Source organism: Homo sapiens, chromosome 12 (assembly GCF_000001405.40).
Source record: "Homo sapiens chromosome 12, GRCh38.p14 Primary Assembly".
NCBI classification, from domain to species: Eukaryota; Metazoa; Chordata; class Mammalia; order Primates; family Hominidae; genus Homo; species Homo sapiens.
Window position 1 is genome coordinate 10,294,083 of NC_000012.12, and position 19,957 is coordinate 10,314,039.

A 19,957-nucleotide genomic window follows, 5' to 3' on the forward strand; every position below is an offset into this window, starting at 1 on the left:
ATGTGCTGTTTCCAAATCAAAGCTTGTGAAAGTCATTGCTACTCTTTCTTTCTTGATGAATATGGACTTGAAGATTTCTCTATACAACGCACCCAAATATGTGTTCTTTACTCTTGTCTTTTCCCAAATACTGTATTTTAACATGAATTTGCACATGTAAATCCATGGTGGACTCATTCAGGAAGATCCATCTTAAGAAAAACAAAAAGCAAAATAAAAACAAGCAAGTATGAAGAGGAGTTACCAGTTTGTCAAAGTGCATCCTCCTAGAAGTTTAGTACCTCAAAATTTCCTCTAGATAATCATTCCTACCCATTTTTTTGTTCGTTTTTTTGAGAAGGAGTCTCACTCTATAGCCCAGTCTGGAGTGCAATGGCATGATCTCGGCTCACTGCAACCTCTGCCTCCCAGGTTCAAGCAATTCTCCTGCCTCAGCCTCCTGAGTAGCTGGGACTACAGGCCCATGCCACCATGCCTGGCTAATTTTTTGTATTTTTAGTAGAGACAGGGTTTCACCACATTGGCCAGGCTAGTCTCAAAACTCCTGACCTCACATGATCCACCTGCTTTGGCCTCCCAAAGTGCTGGGATTATAGGTGTGAGCCACTGCACCCGGCCCCCATTTTGTTTTGACTGAAGTTGGACCCACTCTGATATCCAAATTGGGTCCCAACTGAGCCAATCAGTGTATCTTATCCACTGCCCAGGGTAATTTGTGTCCTGCCTATTTAGTGTCAAGGTCATGAAAGTGAGTTCTTGGATGAAGCTTGACACAAAACAATTTATATTATGTGACTATATACGTTATAGTAAGATAAATTATCAAACCAGGCAAAACTGAACTGTACAGGGTTAGAGGTCAAGACAGCGCTAACATCTATAAAGAGAAAGAGGGTAGTAATTGGAAGGTTAAATGAGGAGAGCTTTTGAAGATTCTGGAAATGTTCTATTTCTCGACTTGGATGGTAGTTACAAGAGTGCTGCCTCTCATAAATTATTAAATTTTGTGCTTTTAGTATTTGTCAATATGTATACCATATTTTATTTTAAAACAGCAAGAAGAGAGAATATGTTGAATTTTTTCTGTCCTTTTAGATTCTGATGTGAACCATGGCTGTTGCCTATTTCTCATTTTATTGTAACCACGTATCTGTATTTTTCAAGTCCTATTTATCCTACGAGATCATGCTCAAATTTCAGTTTTATTTTGAGTTATTTCTTCATTTTTCTTTAAAGTTGTCTCTGTCTCCCTTGTGACACTGTTCTATTCCAGAGTGGATTGGGAACAGATTCAAGTATCTGATTTCTAATGAAGAAAAAATTTTCTAGAAAGCCATTTTTCCTGTGAATCTCAGAATTCCAGTCATTTTCAGTTAGAGAGTAGAGAGAAGTCAATACTTTCTTAAGCCAGGTATCCCATTTTTTTTTGGAAAAAAATAAAAAAACAAAATTATGCTAAATAATTTGAATTTAATTTTTACACATTGAATAGAATTTTGAACAAATTATCTGGTCAATACTTGTACTTTAAAATACAGGTGATAAAATGGACATAAGATACCTTAACAAATTACATGAAGAGCATAACATTCAAGAGTTCAGAAAAAGTAAATAAAACAGAAACATTTACAATAAATCAAAATATATCATTATTAATACATTAAAATATAGACACCCATTTTTCTGTGAAATAAAATGGTCTTAATCATGAATATTGAATACTTATTCAACATTCTTACAGTGAGATATGTCATTTAAAGAAACATATTAGGTTCATGTTTTGCCCTTTAGGTGATTAGAGATAAGCAATCATAATTCTAATACCGTGTTTCAATGCAGAGTGAGATTTTAGTCTTATCAATTGTTTTAGTCAATGACCAATTAAACTGCTTTGAATCATAAGAATTTTAACTCCTCTCTATAATTTATTTTTAAATTATGTAGCTTTTTTTCCTATTTCTCATATAACATGTAGAGTAATATTAGAGATAATCTATAAATGGGTCCATTATTTTAAGAAAGAGCACCTTGCCACAGCTGCACTTAGAACATTTGCTGACTGACTACAGACTGTAGGACATACTGATGTTTTATCCACAGTGTCCATGAAATGAGATATCATGAGGTAGAATCTCTAATAACATACAAAGGAGGCCGGGCACAGTGGCTCATGCCTGTAATCCCAGCACTTTGGGAGGCCGAGGCGGGTGGATCACGAGGTCTGGAGATCGAGACCATCCTGGCTAACACAGTGAAACCCCGTCTCTACTAAAAATACAAAAAATTAGCCGGGCGTGGTGGCGGACACCTGTAATCCCAGCTACTCGGGAGGCTGAGGCAGGAGAATCGAGTGAACCCGGGAGGTGGAGCTTGCAGTGAGCCGAAATTGCACCACCACACTGCAGCCTGGGCGACACAGCGAGACTCCGTCTCAAAAATAAAAATAAAAAAAACCACACACACACACACAAAAACATACAAAGGAAGTGCAAGGCAGATCTACTCATCTAAGTTCCTAGAACATTTATGTTTTGATACCTCCTAAAATGAGTGAAGTTTGGTAATAATTTATACTCCATGAGTAAATGGATTAAAAGAGAGAGAGAGAAAGAGGAGTCATGTGACTATTCTCTTATAAAAGAAAATAATTTTGGAGATGTGGAGTTGAACCTTCAGAAGGCCAAGGGAAACTTACCCCCCGGCCCCTGCAGTACTGGGATTGCCAGAATTGGGATTCATACATATGTTTCGCTGTGTTTCCAACCAGGGGTTTATAAATTCTCTACTCTCTTTTTACTGGGTCAGACACTGTTTCAGAGAGCAATTGGCACTTGGTTGTGGGAAGATGGCTCTGCTTTCTCCCATAACTTGTTAAGTGTGCGGTAGTTATGGTGTTTTTCTGCTGTTTTTTCAAGTTTAATCTATGATCTGCCCAATGCAATTCACATTTTAGAGAACTGCACTAAAGGTAATATCTAAAGGTGTGAAATTTTGAGACAAGAGAAGGAAGGAAACAGCACAATTCATCTTCACCCAGGTTATCCTGATAGCTCAAAGGATGAAAGTGTACCTGTGCTCACGCAAGTTGTAAACTTGTGCTCATTTGTATCCTGGTGTGTGGACACCATCTCTTTTTGATCATTCTATGGAATACAGGGAAAGAGAAACGTTGAAATTAAAATTATTATATTTGTATGCAAACACTTTTATAACTGTTTTCTTAGGAAAGCGCCAAGTCTGTTCTGATTAAAAACAAAACCTCTTAAATTTTAACAAATCACACTCATTTCTGTACCTCTAGAAGATAGTTAAATGTGTCAATGTATATTTCATTAAAATAAAAATTATAATTTAAATATTTTTAAAACATTTAGACTATTATTGGTTAAATTTCTGTCTTTACCTAAGAATATTAAAAACTCAATAAAATAATTTTATATGCTTTCTTATTTTAATATATTTTATAAACTAAGTATTGCATTTTCCCCCGAGCCCGGTTTCAGCAACCCTAACACTCTTTCAGGGTTGTCACTATGTTTTACTAAATTGGGGTTTTCTTCTTCTCCCTTGACAAATTGCAAATTATTTCTGGGTCTTTGTCTTGCTCTCTTCTAACCAAACACTGGAGATTGTTTCTATGTATTATTCATTCACAAATGGGAGTAATGTAGGGTGATCTACTCTTAATGGTTCGGAGTTCTGCAGACCAAGTGAAAGTCCTTTGCCTCTTGCTTTGACACAGTGATCAACCCAATGATTGCTTCTAGACTTTCCCAGATGAAATATATAATCTATGCTCTGGTCACTTAGCACTTTTTACTTTTTCTCTGGGTGTTTTTCTTTTGTTTTTTCATCACCAAAGGAGTCACTTACTTGAACTTCTTTTCTCCCTGATCAATCCAGAAAACACTTTCTCCAAATATCATGTGTCTAATATTGTGCAGCACACTTTTATGATAATGGTACATATATATCTTAAGAAACTTAAATTGATAGTCTTATTTTGCATCTAATAGTACATTTCAGGTGCTAATGATATAATTGAGGAACACTTAACTAGGCTTCATGATTTCAGCACACAACATGCCAAGAGTCAAGAAAGCCTGGAGTTACAAAGACAATGTGACTATCAAACCAGAACCATTTCCACAGTTGAATAAAGAAATAATTAGGAAAATGAACTTAAGTTTGTGGTGATTGATACAAATTACAGAATACCATCTTTCAAAACATTCGAACTCTAAGTAAAATGAGTTAGTAATTATGCTTCTTGGAGATTTAAAGTTTTTTCTTAATTATTTTTTAACCAAAGTAAAACACACATGTGCTTTAAAAATCCATAGTACAGAAGGACTCATTATGAAATTTAACAGTTTTATTTCCCACTTGTGCTCACTGTTGGGAACAGGCCCCCAAATCTGGCCATAAACTGGCCCCAAAACTGGCCATAAACAAAATATCTGCAGCACTGTGACATGCTCGTGATGGCCTTGACGCCTATGCTGGAAGGTTGTTGGTTTACCTGAATGAGAGCAAGGAATACCTGGCCCACCCAGGGCGGGAAACCTTTTAAGGTGTTCTTAAACCATGAACAATAGCATGAGCGATCTGTGCCTTAAGAACATGTTCCTGCTGCAGTTAACTAGCCAGACCCATCGCTTTATTTCAGCCCATCCCTTTGTTTCCCATAAGGAATACTTTCAGTTAATCTATAATCTATAGAAACAATGCTTATCACTGGCTTGCTGTTAATAAATATGTGGGTAAATCTCTGTTCGAGGCTCTCAGCTCTGAAGGCTGTGAGACCCCAGATTTCCCACTCCACAGGCCATATTTCTGTGTGTGTGTCTTTAATTCCTCTAGCACCGCTGGGTTAGGGTCTCCACGACTGAGCTGGTCTCAGCAGCTTACCCTGGTCCTGCCCCAAGGGGAAATGACTTTCATTCTGGTTCTCCTATTTTTATCAGATTTCTCTCTAATGGTATAGAAAGGTGCTTTATTACTTTTCCAGCAAAGAATCAATCTAGGATTTACTCTGTGTAAACAAACCAAGGTTCAGAGACAGTCTCTTCCATGTTACCATTAGGGTTCCATTCTGCGTTTTTTTTTTTTAATTATGTTTTGTTTTGTTTTGTTTTGTTTTTGCTAAAAGCATTCAAGGATTCTTGACCTTGACAAGGAACAGAGGTATCTAGATGAAGTTAAATAGTAAGGATGCTATCTCTTTTAAAGGAAATTATTTCCAGATAATGATAAGAAAACTAGCTACAATATCCTTTGGGTGCAGGAAATGCATAATATAAGCAAACCTTGGAGATATTATGGGTTTGATTAGAGAACACCACAATAAAATAAGTCACACAAATGTTTTGGTTTCCTAATGTATATAAAAGTTATGTTTATACTATACTGTAGTCTGTTAAATGTGCAATAGCATTATGTCTTAAAAAACAGTATATCTACCTTAATTTCAAAATCTGTTATTGCTAAAAAAATGCTATTGATCATCTAAGCTTTCAGCCAGTCCTAATTTTTTGTTGGTGGAGGGTCTTGTCTTAATGTTGATGGCTGTTGACTGACTGGGGTGGTGGTTGCTGAAGGCTAGGAGGCTTTGGCAATTTCTTAAAATAAAAAAATGAATTTTGTGCACTGGTTGACTCTTTTTTTAATGAAAGATTCTCTGTAGCATGTGATGATGTTTGAAGCATTTTACCGACAGTGGAACTTCTTTCAAAATTGAAGTCAGTCCTCTAAAGCCTTGCCGTTGCTTTATCAACTAAGTTTATGTATATTCATAGGAGTAGATTCCATCCCAAGAAACACTTTCTTTGCTTAGCCATGAGAAGCAACTACTCATATATTCACGTTTTCTCACAAGATTGCTGCAATTCCGCCACGACTTCAGTCTCCATTTCTAATTCTAGTTCTCTTGTTATTTCTACCACATCTGCAGTTACTTCCTCCACTGAATTCTTCAACCCCTCAAAGGCATCCATGAGAAATGGAATCAACTCTTTCCAAACTTCTGTTAGTGTTGTATTTTTGACTTCCTTCCATGAATCATGAAAGTTGTTCATGGCATTCAGAATAGTGACTCCATCCCAGAAAGTTCTTAATTTACTTTATCCAGAACCATCAGAGGAATCCCTATCTTTGGTAGTTAGAGCCTTACAAAATGTATTTCTTAAATAATATTAATAAGACTTAAAAGTTGAAATGACTCCTCAATTCAAGGGCTGAAGAATGGATGTTGTGCTAGAAGGCAAGAAAACAACATGTATCTCCTTGTACATCTCCATTAGAGCTTTTATGTGACCAGGTGCATTGTCAATGAGCAGTAATATTTTAAAATGTATAAGTTGTTTTCAGAGCAGTAGGTCTCAATAGCAGGTTAAAAATATTTACTAAACCATGTTATAAACAGATGTGCCACCATCCAGACTTTGTTTATTCACTTGTAGAACTCAGACAGAATAGATATAGCATAATTCTTAAGGCCCTAAAGTTTCAGAAAAATAAGTGAGCAATGGTTTCAACTTAAAGTTACCAACTGCATTAGCACCTCTGAAGAGAGACAGCCTCTCCTTGGAAGCTTTGAAACTAGGCATCACCTACTCTGTTCTAGCTATGAAAATTCTAGATGGCATCTTCTTTCAATATAAGAAAGAAGTCTGCACTAAAAATATGTTGTTTAGTGTAGCCACTTTCATCAATTAGTTTTGCTAGATCTTCTGGATAACCTGCTACAGCTTCTATATCAGCACTTGCTGCCTCACCTTGCACTTGTATGTTATGGAAACAACCTCTTTCCTTAAACTTCATGACCCAAACTCTGCTAGCTTCCAAGTTTTCTTCTGCAGCTTCCTCACCATTCTCAGCTTTCATAGAATTAAAAAGAGTTAGGGTTCTAGATTAGGCTTTGGTTTAAGGGAATGTTGTGACTGGTTTGATCTCTTATGCAGACAACTACAACTTTCTCCATATCCACAATAATGAAAATGGCCCCACCCCCAAATTTCATAAAATGAATGAAGGGGGAAAAATCCAACTAGGCTTGCAGCACAATGGCAGCAATGATTAAGCCAGCTTGTCCTTTGACTCATTTCTGTGTAGCCATTTGTAGCTTAGTACCCTAGGATAATGTAGGCCTTGTCAGAAGACTTTTTTCTTTTTCTGTTCCATAGATAAAATCTAAGACATTGTGAGATGATAAACTTTTGTTTGAGGTTGTTCTTTAGGTTCTGCATACCAACAAAACCACCAATGCCACCCAGTGTGGAGGGCCCGGTGAGAAACTGACACATGATAGAATGCAGTTACCACATTCTGATGATTTCATCCCCCTTACCCTGATCAGTAGATGATCTCAAATGTTCCAACCCCTGCCCTCCACAATCCTTTAAAAATTCTTGCCCAGAACAGCTTCACAAAAAATATTTGGGGCTTGAGAATTCTTCTCATTTTCTTGTTGTGTGCCTTGCGATTGTTAAACTCTTTCTCTGCTGCAAACCTGCAGTCAGTGTATTGGTCTGCTGCTGCACGGTGGGCATAGCAACCTGGTAGTACTATTACAATAAGGCTTCTTGGCTTTCTTAGCATTTGTGTGTTCATTTGGGGTAGCACTTTTAAAATTGCCTTCTAAGACATTTCCTTTGCATTTACAACTTGGCTAACTCTTTTGTGTAAGAAGCCTAGGTTTCAGCCTCATCTCAGTTTTGGACATGTCCTCCTAGCTTTTGATTTAAAGTGAGAGACATGAGAGTCTTCCTTTCACTTGAACACATGAGGCCATTGTAGGGTTATTAACTAGCCAAATTTTGGCATTGTTGTATCTCAGGTAATAGTTAGGCTTGAGAAGAGGGAGAACGAGATGGGGAACAGCTGGTCAGTGGAGCAGAACACACACGACATTTACTAATCGGTTCACCATCTTATATGGGCATGGTTCCTGGTGCCCCAAAACAATTACAAAATTGACATCAACAGGCACTGATCACAGATTGCCATAAGATATATAATATTAATGAAAATATTTTAAATTAATTTGACAGTTGCAAAATGTGACGGAGAGACATGAATTGAACACATGCTTTTGGAAAAAATGGTGTTGATAGACTTACTTGACATAAAGTTGCCATAAACATTCAATTTGTAAAAAATGCAATTTCTGCAAAATGCAATAAAGTAGGTTGCAATAAAACAAGGTATGACTGTTCTCATCTATACAGAACGTGGGTTGTTTTCAAGACATTTACTCAACTCCCATAAAAATTCAGGATATTGATGCAGGGAAGTGCTGATGTCAGTGGCAGGTAAGTGTCACCCAGTGCAGCCTCCCTTCTCATGCAATCACCCAACAGGTTCTTCCTGGCCGTTGCACAGACAAAATCCATCAACTGAGACACCAGTATTGTAGCAGAGAAAGAAATTAATTGACACAAGGCTGTCCTACTTGGTAGAACTGGAGTTATCACTCAAAGTCTCCATGAAGGCTTGAAGGCTAGTATTTTTATGGACAATTTGGTGGGCAGGGGGTTAGGGAATGGGTGTTGCTGATTGGTTGAGGGGCAGTGAAACCATAAGGGTATAGAAAATGGTCCTCACGAGCTCAGTCTGCCTCTGGGTGGGGCCACAGGATTAGTTGAGTCATAAGCCAGGAGTCCAGGTGGGGTTAGTCTGAAAAACACCTCAAAAAAAAAAAACCAACCTTAACTTCTACAATATTGATGCTATCTATAGGAGCAATTGGGAAGGTCACTAGACACATGACTCCTGAGCAGTAAGTGATTATAGAAACTACACCTACACTTTAGCAGAGCTCAGGCCCCTCTCATAATCCTAACCTCGTGACCTTTTTATTAGTTTGTCAAAAGCTATTAGTTTGTCAAAAGCTGAGTTTTGAGAAGAGCTATTATCATGCTTGCCTTAAGGTTAAACTATAAACTAAATTCCTCCCAAAGTTAGCTTGGCCTACACCCAGTAATGATCAAGTCAGCTTGGAAGTCAGAAGCAAGATTAAATCAACTATGCCAGATTTCTCTCACTGTCATAATTTTGCAGAGGTGGCTTCACTCATAGCATGAGAACCTTTGTGTCAGAAGCACTCCGTCCTGCTTCTCTGACCTCTTTTATCTGCCTACTCTCATTCACCATTTCACCTTTATGCTTATCCTCTTTTCCTTCATATTAGGGGAGTTTTTCTTAGTGTTGGGTTCCACAAAAATATGAAACTCATTGAAGGGCTGGATGATTGACACTTGAATGGCATCCTGAATTCCATAAAGGAGTAGGGACTGGGGTTTATTGGAGGGGGCTTCTGAAAGAGGGACATGTTGTGGGAGGGTGAAGGTGAGGAAATACATGTTGAATAAAGATTTTCTTGCTATGTAAATGAGAGTCCTTCAGGGGAGAAATTGTTCAGGAGCAGCTCTTTTCCTGATATAGATAATTTTACTAATATAGATTTCCTTTACAGATGTAATTTTCCTTTACAAAAGGGCAGCTTTTCACATGACCTACTCTTGTGTCTGCAGTTTCTCAAAATAACCAGCTTGAAATATGCCAACAAAGATAAATATTTTTAGGGGACATATTTTAGTCTCCTGCTATCATATTTTGGGGTGATATGTCCTGAGCCCCAACAACACATTTCTTTTTCTGGCATGCATCCCCAAATAGCCCCTGCATATAAGATAAGCAAAATAATTTGGGATATTTATATATCAAGTCCTGAGATCCATTGGTATGAGGGTGGCAAAGTTTTGAGCAGATCTAGGGGGAAAAGAAGTCCCAAGGCCTACAGATGCAAAAGTCTGTTTAAGTAAAACAAAGGTTCCTAGATATAAGAGAGGGGCAATGATAACTTGGGCTATAAGATGAAAGGCAAGGAGTGTTTGCTTCTATACATGTAATTGTATGTATATTTCTCATTATCTATGTGGACAAAACTTAACCAGTTCTTCAAGAAGGTAACATAAAGGATTGGATTGTCAAATCAGTATCACAAGCATCCTCAGAGATTTCACCCAGTATCATGCTTTACTCATAATTTCAGTTATACAATAATTGTGAGATGCAGACAAAACAGTGGAAAACCCAGGCCTGCAAAAGCACCCACTCATTCTTACTTTCCCCTTAGGACACACTCTGGCCCAGACAAACAGATAAACATATGAGGTCTCTTAATGGTGTTTGTGGCTGCACCGTTTACACAAAAGGAGATGTTTTGGTTATGACACATCTCCATTTTATACTCAGATGGTTACATGGTTATGGTTACACATAGCTTATGTGACATTTTTCCAGGAAGCCAGCCTCCATAAACCCACAGATTCTAGTTTTATGCTTTTTTTTTATATAGTGTGTTTTGCTCTTGTCACCCAGGCTGGAGTGCAATGGTGCGATCTCAGCTCATCAAGTTCAAGAGACTCTAATGCCTCAGCCTCCCAAGTAGCAGGGGTTACAGGTGAGTGCCACCATGCCCGACTAATTTTGTATTTTTAGTAGAGACAGGGTTTCTCCATGTTGGCCAGGCTGGCCTTGAACTCCTGACCTCAGGTGATCCACCTGCCTTGGCCTCCAAAAGAGCTGAGATTACAGGCGTGAGCCACTATGCCCAGCCTTAGTTTTATTTTTTTATTTGATTTTACCACTAACAATTTTAGACAATCTAATACATCCTGCTAAAATCATTCCATTGATAAGGATTTTGCAAGCAAAACACACTATATATAAGAAACCACTATAGCTAGTAGGTTTGTTATTAGCATGTTTACAATGAGATTTTACCAGGTCAGTAACGTCTTTTGTTTTTTCTCAGGGAGCCCTCTCTCTCTGTTAAAAGAATAATTTGCAGCCTGATGTGAGCAATTTTCTTTCCGCTCAAAGAATGCATTTTCTAAAAGCAGTGAGATCAAAATAAATTTTTCCCTTGGGGATACTAGAACGTATACTGTTATTTTGTTCTGCAACATTTTAGTTATACATTTTTAGGTAGGGAAAAGACTTCACTGTTTATATGTTAAGTGAACATTAGTTTCTTTTCCCTGGCTTTTGACTAAGGTTTAAAAGTTGACTTAGCTATTGAAGTCATCACTTGCTCTTACCAAGGGCACTAGTAAATTGCAGGGGAGGAAGAGGGCATCTTCCTGCAATGGATACTAGGGGATGGAAAGTCCTGCAAAGAGAGACGTTCTTTTGGCAGGATACCTAACTTTTCAAAAGCAAATTTATGTAAGTGAAGCTGGATATTTCAGCGGAATTTAGTCTGGTTTCTCTCGGCAGCACACTCAGAGAATACTTTGAGTAGAAACTTTATTTGGAATTGTGTATGCAATAAATGTAGGAAAGGAAATGTAATAGGAAAGGGAAAGTGGAACGCAATAAAGGTTATTTTCTTAATCTAGCTTCTAGAGGAGGTGACTGGAACATAACACTATTGAGTAATTCTGGGAACTGGGCAAAACACAATGTTCAGAATTACCTGACTTTAGGGCTGAGACTGCTGGACTGTATAGCAAATCACAAGATTCGTTTGTTGACGCCCATTCTGGTGATGATTATTCAGCACTTCCGGATTAGCATGTCTGAGAACAGCAAGGCTTTCAGCAGTTATTGGAGAAAAAAAGAACCCATAGATACAGCTATACAGATAACTAGTTGGCCATAGTTCCCCAAATATTCCAAGGGACATAGGCGAGGCAATGATAACTTCAGGAACAAGTGGAGATGAGTGGGAGAGATACAGTACATGGAAATCATTCACCTGTCTACGTACAAAAATAAATAGAAAGAACAGAGGCCGGGCACGGTGGCTCACGCCTGTAATCCCAGCACTTTGGGAGGCCGAGGCGGGCGGATCACGAGGTCAGGAGATCGAGACAATCCTGGCTAACACGGTGAAACCCCGTCTCTACTAAAAAAAAAAAATACAAAAAATTAGCTGGGCGTGGTGGCGGGAGCCTGTAGCCCCAGCTACTCGGTAGGCCGAGGCAGGAGAATGGCGTGAACACGGGAGGCGGAGCTTGCAGTGAGCCGAGTGAGCCACTGCACTCCAGCCTGGGTGACAGAGACTCCATCTCAAAAAACAAACAAACAAAAACAAACAAAAAAAGAACAATCAGAGTTGGCAGCTCAGAAAGAGTTAAAGAGGTATATACATATATGTTTACTGTGTGTGTGTATGTGTGTGTGTGTGTGTGTGTTTAGGTATCTTAAATATTTAAGCCTGGAGTTCTTGAAGTAAACTTGTATTTGTTGGATTTTTATTTCTAAGTCAGTGAACTAAGATGAAAAAAAGGACAATGACTGATGGACGTATTCTCACCAAACAGGGTTCTAAAAACTTAGAACCTCTAACTTCCAAATAAAGGTGGTTGTGTTAGTAATGAAAGTGTAGTAATAATCCCTATTGCACATTCTGTCATAAATTTGTACTCTCTCAAGAGAAAAACTAAAAGCAAACCCCTAATCTCCTATATTTTGAGGCAATTTTACATGGGGGAAAAATAGTATCAGACAGGTTTCTTCCAGACCAGCTTTTTCTAACACTAAAAATGAATAGATTTCAAGTAAGCAAAGGATTTTTAAATAAATCACTTCAACTAAGATTTGCATACAGTCTGGATGAAGTAGATTTTACGCTTATATTCTTCAGTGAGGATTTATAGCTCAACAAATTTGTTGGTGCAATGAAAGCAGCTCTAGGCACACAATGCAAACTGAAAAGATGGAAAGTTTTGACTTCATAAAAACTGAGAAGTCAAAGTAGTCTTTTCTTTCATTTTTTTCTGTTGTTGGTTGAAAGCCCATCTTTTACAAAAGGGTTTATCTATAGTAATATTATAATGCTTGAACATAAACAATATACAAAATATAATACACAAAACGTTTATTTGAGTGTCTGCTTTTGTATGGGGGTGCATGGTAGATTGTATTTCCAGATACTAAATCATGGATCGAAATCTCTCCTTTCAAGATTCTTATTATAGCCAATCTCTTCCACATTGGAAATTTGACCTGTTCCACATTTGATATTCCTATTAACAAGGTTACTCTTCTGTAGATGAAAAAGTGTATATCGAAGTATCAGTATAGTATCTGAATTAGATAACACACTAAACAATATAATAATGTATTAGTAAAAATAAGGAAAATAAAGAAGCTGAAGTCGTGCTTAAAGAACTTTAAGAAAATGAAAATTGAGGTGTTGAAAAAAGCTTTTAAGGCTAACGTGAATGAGGCGTCCAAGTGGGAAACCCATCCAGTTCTACTTTTTTGAACTTTGCCTGTCGTGGCCAGGATAATTAGGTAGAGATCAGAAGAACAGAGTGAGACATGGAAATCCCAATTTATGTGACCTTGGGCAAATTACTTAGCTCTGTATGCCTCAGTTTTCTCTTTGATAGATTGAAGATATTTATATATCTTTACTATCAAGCCATTTACAGAAATAAATGAGCTAAGATATGCCAAGTGCTTTAAATTGTGTTAAGTACAAGGTAAATAATAAATGTTTATTATTAAAAGAGGAAAATTCTGTAAGTAATTTTGTTATGCTAAGTAAATTTACCTTTGGTTTGCCCATCATTTCCTTCATTTTCCAGATAACCCTTTAAAATGAATTTGATTTTCAAACAATAAAAAACAAAACAGCAACAAAACTCCCTCTGACCTCCTCTCACCTTCTTTAGTCCTTGCCAAAGTGTTAATATTGCAAAAGTACTGTGAGAATTTCCTGTATTGTGGTTCCTGGAACACTTCAGAGGCTTGTGATTCTACTGCTTCTTATTCACACTATAATACATGTCTCACCAATAGATGATTCAAGAACATCATTTAAATACACAATTTTTCATTCTCTATTTTTGCTAAATTTCTTCATACTCAACTTTCAGATTCTTTAATCTCCAGCTCAGCTTCAACAATTCAACGCTGTTCTTTCTGAAAAAGTACACATCGTGCCTTCTCTACTTCGCTCTTGGAACATAATTTCTCATGGCAGGTATGTGTGATTTCAGTCACTAAATTAAAAATAACCAGAAAAGCTATTTCTTGGATTGGCTGATTTTGGGGTAATGCTTTAAGAGAAAAGGACATGATTAACAGTGGATGTTTTTAGGATTTTCATGCATTAGCACTTTCCACATTCATTATATTTTCCTGATTCTTCATTGTATAACTTAGACATGATTTCATGAAGTTTTTTCCACAGGTTTGAAGAGTGGTTTCTGACAGGGCTACCTTTAAATTCTGAGTGAGAACTGAACTTTAGCCTGGTTAAATTGTGAGCAACAGTGTTCTAGTATAGCAATAGAAAATGCCAAATATTAATGACACAATGCTGAAAAGGTTTTAATTGACTATTTATGTTGTGACATCCAAAAATTACACAAATGAACAGTTTGACACATTGTACTGTTGTTAATGACATCACTCTTTGAGAGTGTGTTCACGTTAGCACAGAATCTCCTAATGTTGAAATGTTTTAGGTGAAAGGCCTAAAAGCAAGTAATTTTGAGTATGAACAAATGGAATGTTCTAGGGGAAAAAGGATTGTTTATGTATGTTCAATATACTGTGAAATGAAGCCAGGCCTCAAAGTTGTTACCCATCAATTTGTTATCAGTTATCACACCAAGTCCAGAATGTTCCTATGTCTTCTTTTCCCTATAATATCTCTACGAACCAATGAGCAGCTAGACATTTATCAGAGCAAAACCTGCACTGAGATGAGGAGAGGGCATACTCTCAACTAGTATTATTGTGACAATGGTAGACTACGTTGAATGAAAGATTCTTGAGCTAGACACACTTTCATGTGATTTCTGACTTGGATACTTACTTGCTTTGATACCTTGAGAAAATAACATTATTATTGGACCTTATGTTTTCTCATCTATGTAATGAGAACCATACTATCTATCTTGTGATTTTGTTGAGAGAATAAAAATAAATGCCTGTTATGTAAGTCCATAAAACACAACGTGGTGCTTGTTAATATCTTCTACCTCCAGATCTTTAAGCACCTCTGCCAATTTAAAATAAATGGTAAATTCACTTTACTGCAACAGAGCTGGTAGAGAAGAAAATGTTTGAATAATCTTCCTGAAGAATAAGATACATCACATAAAAATGTTGGTATTGGGTGAAGTCCCGATTGGAAAGTCTTCAGTGTTTTATTGGCAAGATGACTCCGTTATCAAATGAAAGAATGTTGTGGATTCTCCGTCACTAGTTTCTGCTTTTAAGAACTCAGCTCCTGAGTTTGCTCTTTAAGTCATTACTCTGTCTGTCTTTCTCTACAGTGTTTAAGACCACTCTGTGGAGGTTAATTTCTGGGACCTTAGGGATAATATGCCTTTCGTTGATGTCTACGTTGGGAATTTTGTTGAAAAATTGTAAGTTTTTCTAAGCAAGTCTCCATAAAAATCAAAACTGTGAAGACATCATTTAATAATAAAGGCTTCATCTTGCTAATGTGTAATATTTTAGTATTTCATAAACCCATACCTAATTAAACAAATTTCTAATCATTTCTTATAGCTTTTACTAAACTGAGTATTGAGCCAGCATTTACTCCAGGACCCAACATAGAACTCCAGAAAGGTAGGTCACATTTTTTGGAAAACTTAGCATTGGTAAAAGATTAAATAGGCAGTTTCTTGTTTTTCACACAGAGAGGCATGATGGAATATTATACTTAGTAATAGAAATTTGCCTACCAGTGTAGGATAGTCTCATTTTACATTGCTCAATCTAATGTAAAAATGATTAAATTACACTGAATGTGTATCATTTGTACATTTAACTAATCAGGAAAATAGTAGCCTGAAACGAAAGATATGTTTCCTATATGAGTGCTCATAATTAAGTAACAAAAAATAAACCACAGGAAATGTTACAGTTAATCCTCATTACCTGCCTGAATTTGCTTATAACCTATACTTTTGCATCTCACTACTTTTCCTTTTCCAGAATATACTGCACAGATTTCTAAACCTTACTTATCCAGTGAAAGCCAGCTCAAAGTCCAATTTTCGTTTTTGGAGATGGAGTTTTGCTCTTGTCGTCCAGGCTGGAGTGCAGTGGCACGATCTTGGCTCACTGCCACATCAGCCTCCCTGGTTCAAGTGATTCTCCCACCTTCCTGCCTCAGCCTCCCAAGTAGCTGGGACTACAGGCGCCCGCCACCATGCCCAGCTAATTTTTGTGTTATTAGTAGAGTCAGGGTTTCGCCATGTTGGCCAGGCTGGTCTCGAACTCCTGACCTCAGGTCATCCACCTGCCTCGGCTTCCAAAGTGTTGGGATTATGCCGTACCCAGCAGAGCCACTGCGCCCGGCCTCAATTTTCTAAATATGTATTTTTCGGAATGCGCCCCAAGTTGTCTCACCATCATCTTGATTATATAGTGTTTATTTACAGTGCAACATCTTGGCCAGGCACAGTGGCTCACGTCTGTAATCCCAGCTCTTTGGGAGGCTGAGGTAGGCATATTACTTGAGGTCAGAAGTTCAAGACAGGCCAACCCCGTCTGTACTAAAAATACAAAAATTAGCCAGGCATGGCGGCACGCACCTGTAGTATCAGTTACTCAGGAGGCTGAGGCATGAGAATCACTTGAACCTGGGAGGCGGAGGTTGAAGGGAGCTGAGATGGTGCCACTGCACTCCAGCCTGGGCAACACAGCAAGACTCTGTCTCAAAAACAATTAAAAAATATAAAAATAATAGTGCAACATCTTCAGCACTACTTATATGGCAAAGATTTGAGTGCCTATGACGTGTCATGTTTTTATTACCGTGGGTAACAAACGTTGAAGACACTATTATTGATAAACTGTATAATTAAGCCTCAAGATAATTGGTTTATTTATATTCCCTTTTCAAAAATAAGATATCCAAACATATATCAAAATTCTCCAAATGTACCATATTCTTTTCTGACTCAGAAAGTATGCTAAAATGTTTTCCTCCTTTAAATCTTTTTCATCTAGTTAACTCCTATTTATGCTACAGTACTTAGTTTTGAGTCACTTCCTCAAAAAAAGGTTCTTGTAACTGCCCCTCATCTTACACTCTGCTACATGCTGTTTTAACATACTTAATTTTTTTGTACTTATCTAAATCATCACTAAATATCGTTAATAAATTATTGAAAATTATATAATTGTAATTCTATCTCTAGAATATAATCTCCATGAGGAAAAAGCATCATGTTCATGTCTAATTAGTTCACATTAGTAGCCCCTGAAGTGTGGTGTATACAGTAGATTCTGAATGTTAAAAGAATACACAGCAAATAATTTTTGAATAATTAAATAGCATTGAAAAAAATGTCTAGTCTCCAGTGTCATTAGTCATGCTTTATGTTTTCTGTCAGACTCTGACTGCTGTTCTTGCCAAGAAAAATGGGTTGGGTACCGGTGCAACTGTTACTTCATTTCCAGTGAACAGAAAACTTGGAACGAAAGTCGGCATCTCTGTGCTTCTCAGAAATCCAGCCTGCTTCAGCTTCAAAACACAGATGAACTGGCATGTGCTGAGTCTGATTTTCTACATTTTCTTTGATCTAGAAAAATATACTATCTAAACAAGTTAAATACTTTGGTTTAAGTCATTAATCACATAGTAAGTGGATGGTTATATTGGAATTGAGTTATCTGTTCTGTGTACCTTAAAGTAGTCATTGTAAAATCTTTATTAAATTCCTTAATGATTATATCATGGGAATACAAATCAAGATAGGTGCCAAATAAAGTGAAAGAAACTTTTCAGGAAGAATTCAAAGAAGATAATAGGTCATTATATTTACCCATTTTATTTGAAGAACCAACTAAATGACTGTGATTCTTAACTCTTTTAATTGAATTTATAATATCTTTTATAATTTTATAGTTTTTGTCATCTTTCTGGGATATAAGCTAGTATGGAAATATGGTAAGAAAACGTACCCAATTCTTTTCTTTTCTTTTTTTTTTTTTTTTTTTGAGACAGAGTTTTACTCTGTTGCCCAGGCTGGAGTGCACTGGTGCAATTTCAGCTCACTGCAGCCTCCACCTCCTGGGTTCAAGTGATTCTCCTGCCTCAGCCTCCTGAGTAGCTGGGATTACAGACACCTGCCACCAGGCCTGGCACTTTTTGTATTTTTAGTAGAGACAGGGTTTCACCGTATTGGCGAGGCTGGTCTTGAACTCCTGACCTCGGGTGATCTACCCTCCTTGGCCTCCCAAAGTGCTAGGATTACAGGCATGAGCCACCGTGCCTGGCCCTAATTACCCAATTCTTTTTTGTTTGTTTGTTTGTTTGTTTGTTTGAGATGGAGTCTCGCTCTGTCGCCCAGGCTGGAGTGCAGTGGCGTGATCTTGGCTCACTGCAAGCTCCTCCTCCCGGGTTCACGCCATTCTCCTGCCTCAGCCTCCCGAGTAGCTGGGACTACAGGCGCCCACAACCACGCCCAGTTAATTTTGTGTATTTTTAGTAGAGACGCGGTTTCACCGTGTTAGCCAGGATGGTCTCGATCTTCTGACCTCATGATCTGCCCACCTCTGCCTCCCAAAGTGCTGGGATTACAGGCGTGAGCCACCGTGCCCGGCCCCTAATTACCCAGTTCTTAAGAAAAAGTGCGGCCGGGCGCAGTGGCTGAAACCTGTAATCCCAGCACTTTGGGAGGCCGAGGAGGGCGGATCACAGTCAGGAGATCGAGACCATCCTGGCTAACACGGTGAAACCACGTCTCTACTAAAAATACAAAAAATTAGCCGGGCGTGGTGGCGGGCGCCTGTAGTCCCAGCTACTCGGGAGGCGGAGGCAGGAGAATGGCGTGAACCTGGGAGGCAGAGCTTGCAGTGAGCTGAGATCGTCCCACTGCACTCCAGCCTGGGCGACAGAGCAAGACTCCCTCTCAACAAAAAGAAAAAAGAAAAAGCGAAAAACTTCTCCTGCTGCACGTGGCACCTTTGCGGATTATAGGTTGAGTAGATTATACCCATGGGATTCCTCCTTCACAATACCATGATTTTGGAATCAAATTTAATCTTTGATCCCCCGTGAAGAAAGTGTTCCATGAAAACTCTATCTCCTTTTAGAAGGTTTTTAATTCTTCAGGAAGTGAGATTTTGTGGTATTTTTTCTCCATATATGAATGGGCCTGATAAATGAGAACTTTCAGTCTTGTGATTATACCTTTTAAATAGGAAGTTAAAAATAATTTCCGTTTGTGTGATGGACAGGCTGAATCTTATTCTAAACACTGACTTTCCCTCAAAATATGTTATTCCCAGAATAGATTAAAATTAGATTAATGTGATTGTCTTTTACTTGAAGCAGGATTTTATGAGCTCCAGTCAACAATTTTACTGGATTGGACTCTCTTACAGTGAGGAGCACACCGCCTGGTTGTGGGAGAATGGCTCTGCACTCTCCCAGTATCTGTAAGTTTCTGGCAATCATGGCGTTTTTTGCTCTTTATGAATTTGTCCTTAAATGTGACTAGTAAAGGTAACATCCAGGAGCACTGTGGCTGAAATAACCTTGTCTAGGGCATGAGAATACAGTAAAAGGAAAAAGTACAACAAAATAACAATTTTAGATCTAGGCAGATCTAAACCACTCTAAGTGTTAAAATCAAAACAGAAGATAATGCCTAATGAAAGGAGGTCGGGGTATAGGATAGTTGGTGCAAAAAAATACTGATAACCATTACATGCTTGCCTGTATTATTTTAAATTTTTTAATTAAAAATATATTATTTTGTAGTCACATGGACAACAAAACCAAAACATTACAAATCTCCAGAAAGTGCAATGCATAAGCTCTCTTAGTTCAAATTAAACATTTGAAAGGTATTATATTTCATCCTATATCTTTTGTCAGTTAACTGAAGTGCATTTTTCCTAAATCAATCTTCATACAAGAATGTGAAGAGGGCCAGGGATGGTGGCTTGAGCATCCAAGTTA

At 37.8% G+C, this 19,957-nt stretch overlaps 1 protein-coding gene across 18 annotated transcripts in view; it reads left to right on the forward strand.

Moving 5' to 3' along the window:
* Nucleotides 1-19,957, forward strand: part of KLRD1 (killer cell lectin like receptor D1) — a 90,648-nt gene that overhangs the window by 55,122 nt on the left and 15,569 nt on the right. For 3 of the 18 annotated variants that reach the window (NM_002262.5, NM_001414224.1, XM_047428822.1), the window contains exons 1-5: nt 13,788-14,002; nt 15,306-15,398; nt 15,544-15,606; nt 17,382-17,533; nt 19,328-19,431. In NM_002262.5, coding sequence (NP_002253.2) covers nt 13,996-14,002; nt 15,306-15,398; nt 15,544-15,606; nt 17,382-17,533; nt 19,328-19,431 — 419 coding nt within the window. In that variant the 5' untranslated portion in view covers nt 13,788-13,995. Of the gene's footprint in view, nt 1-10,363; nt 10,466-12,077; nt 12,151-13,787; nt 14,003-15,274; nt 15,399-15,543; nt 15,607-17,381; nt 17,538-19,324; nt 19,432-19,957 lie in introns of those variants that run through there. The other 15 variants (XM_011520651.4, XM_024448974.2, NM_007334.3 and 12 more) reach the window with 13 other exon arrangements.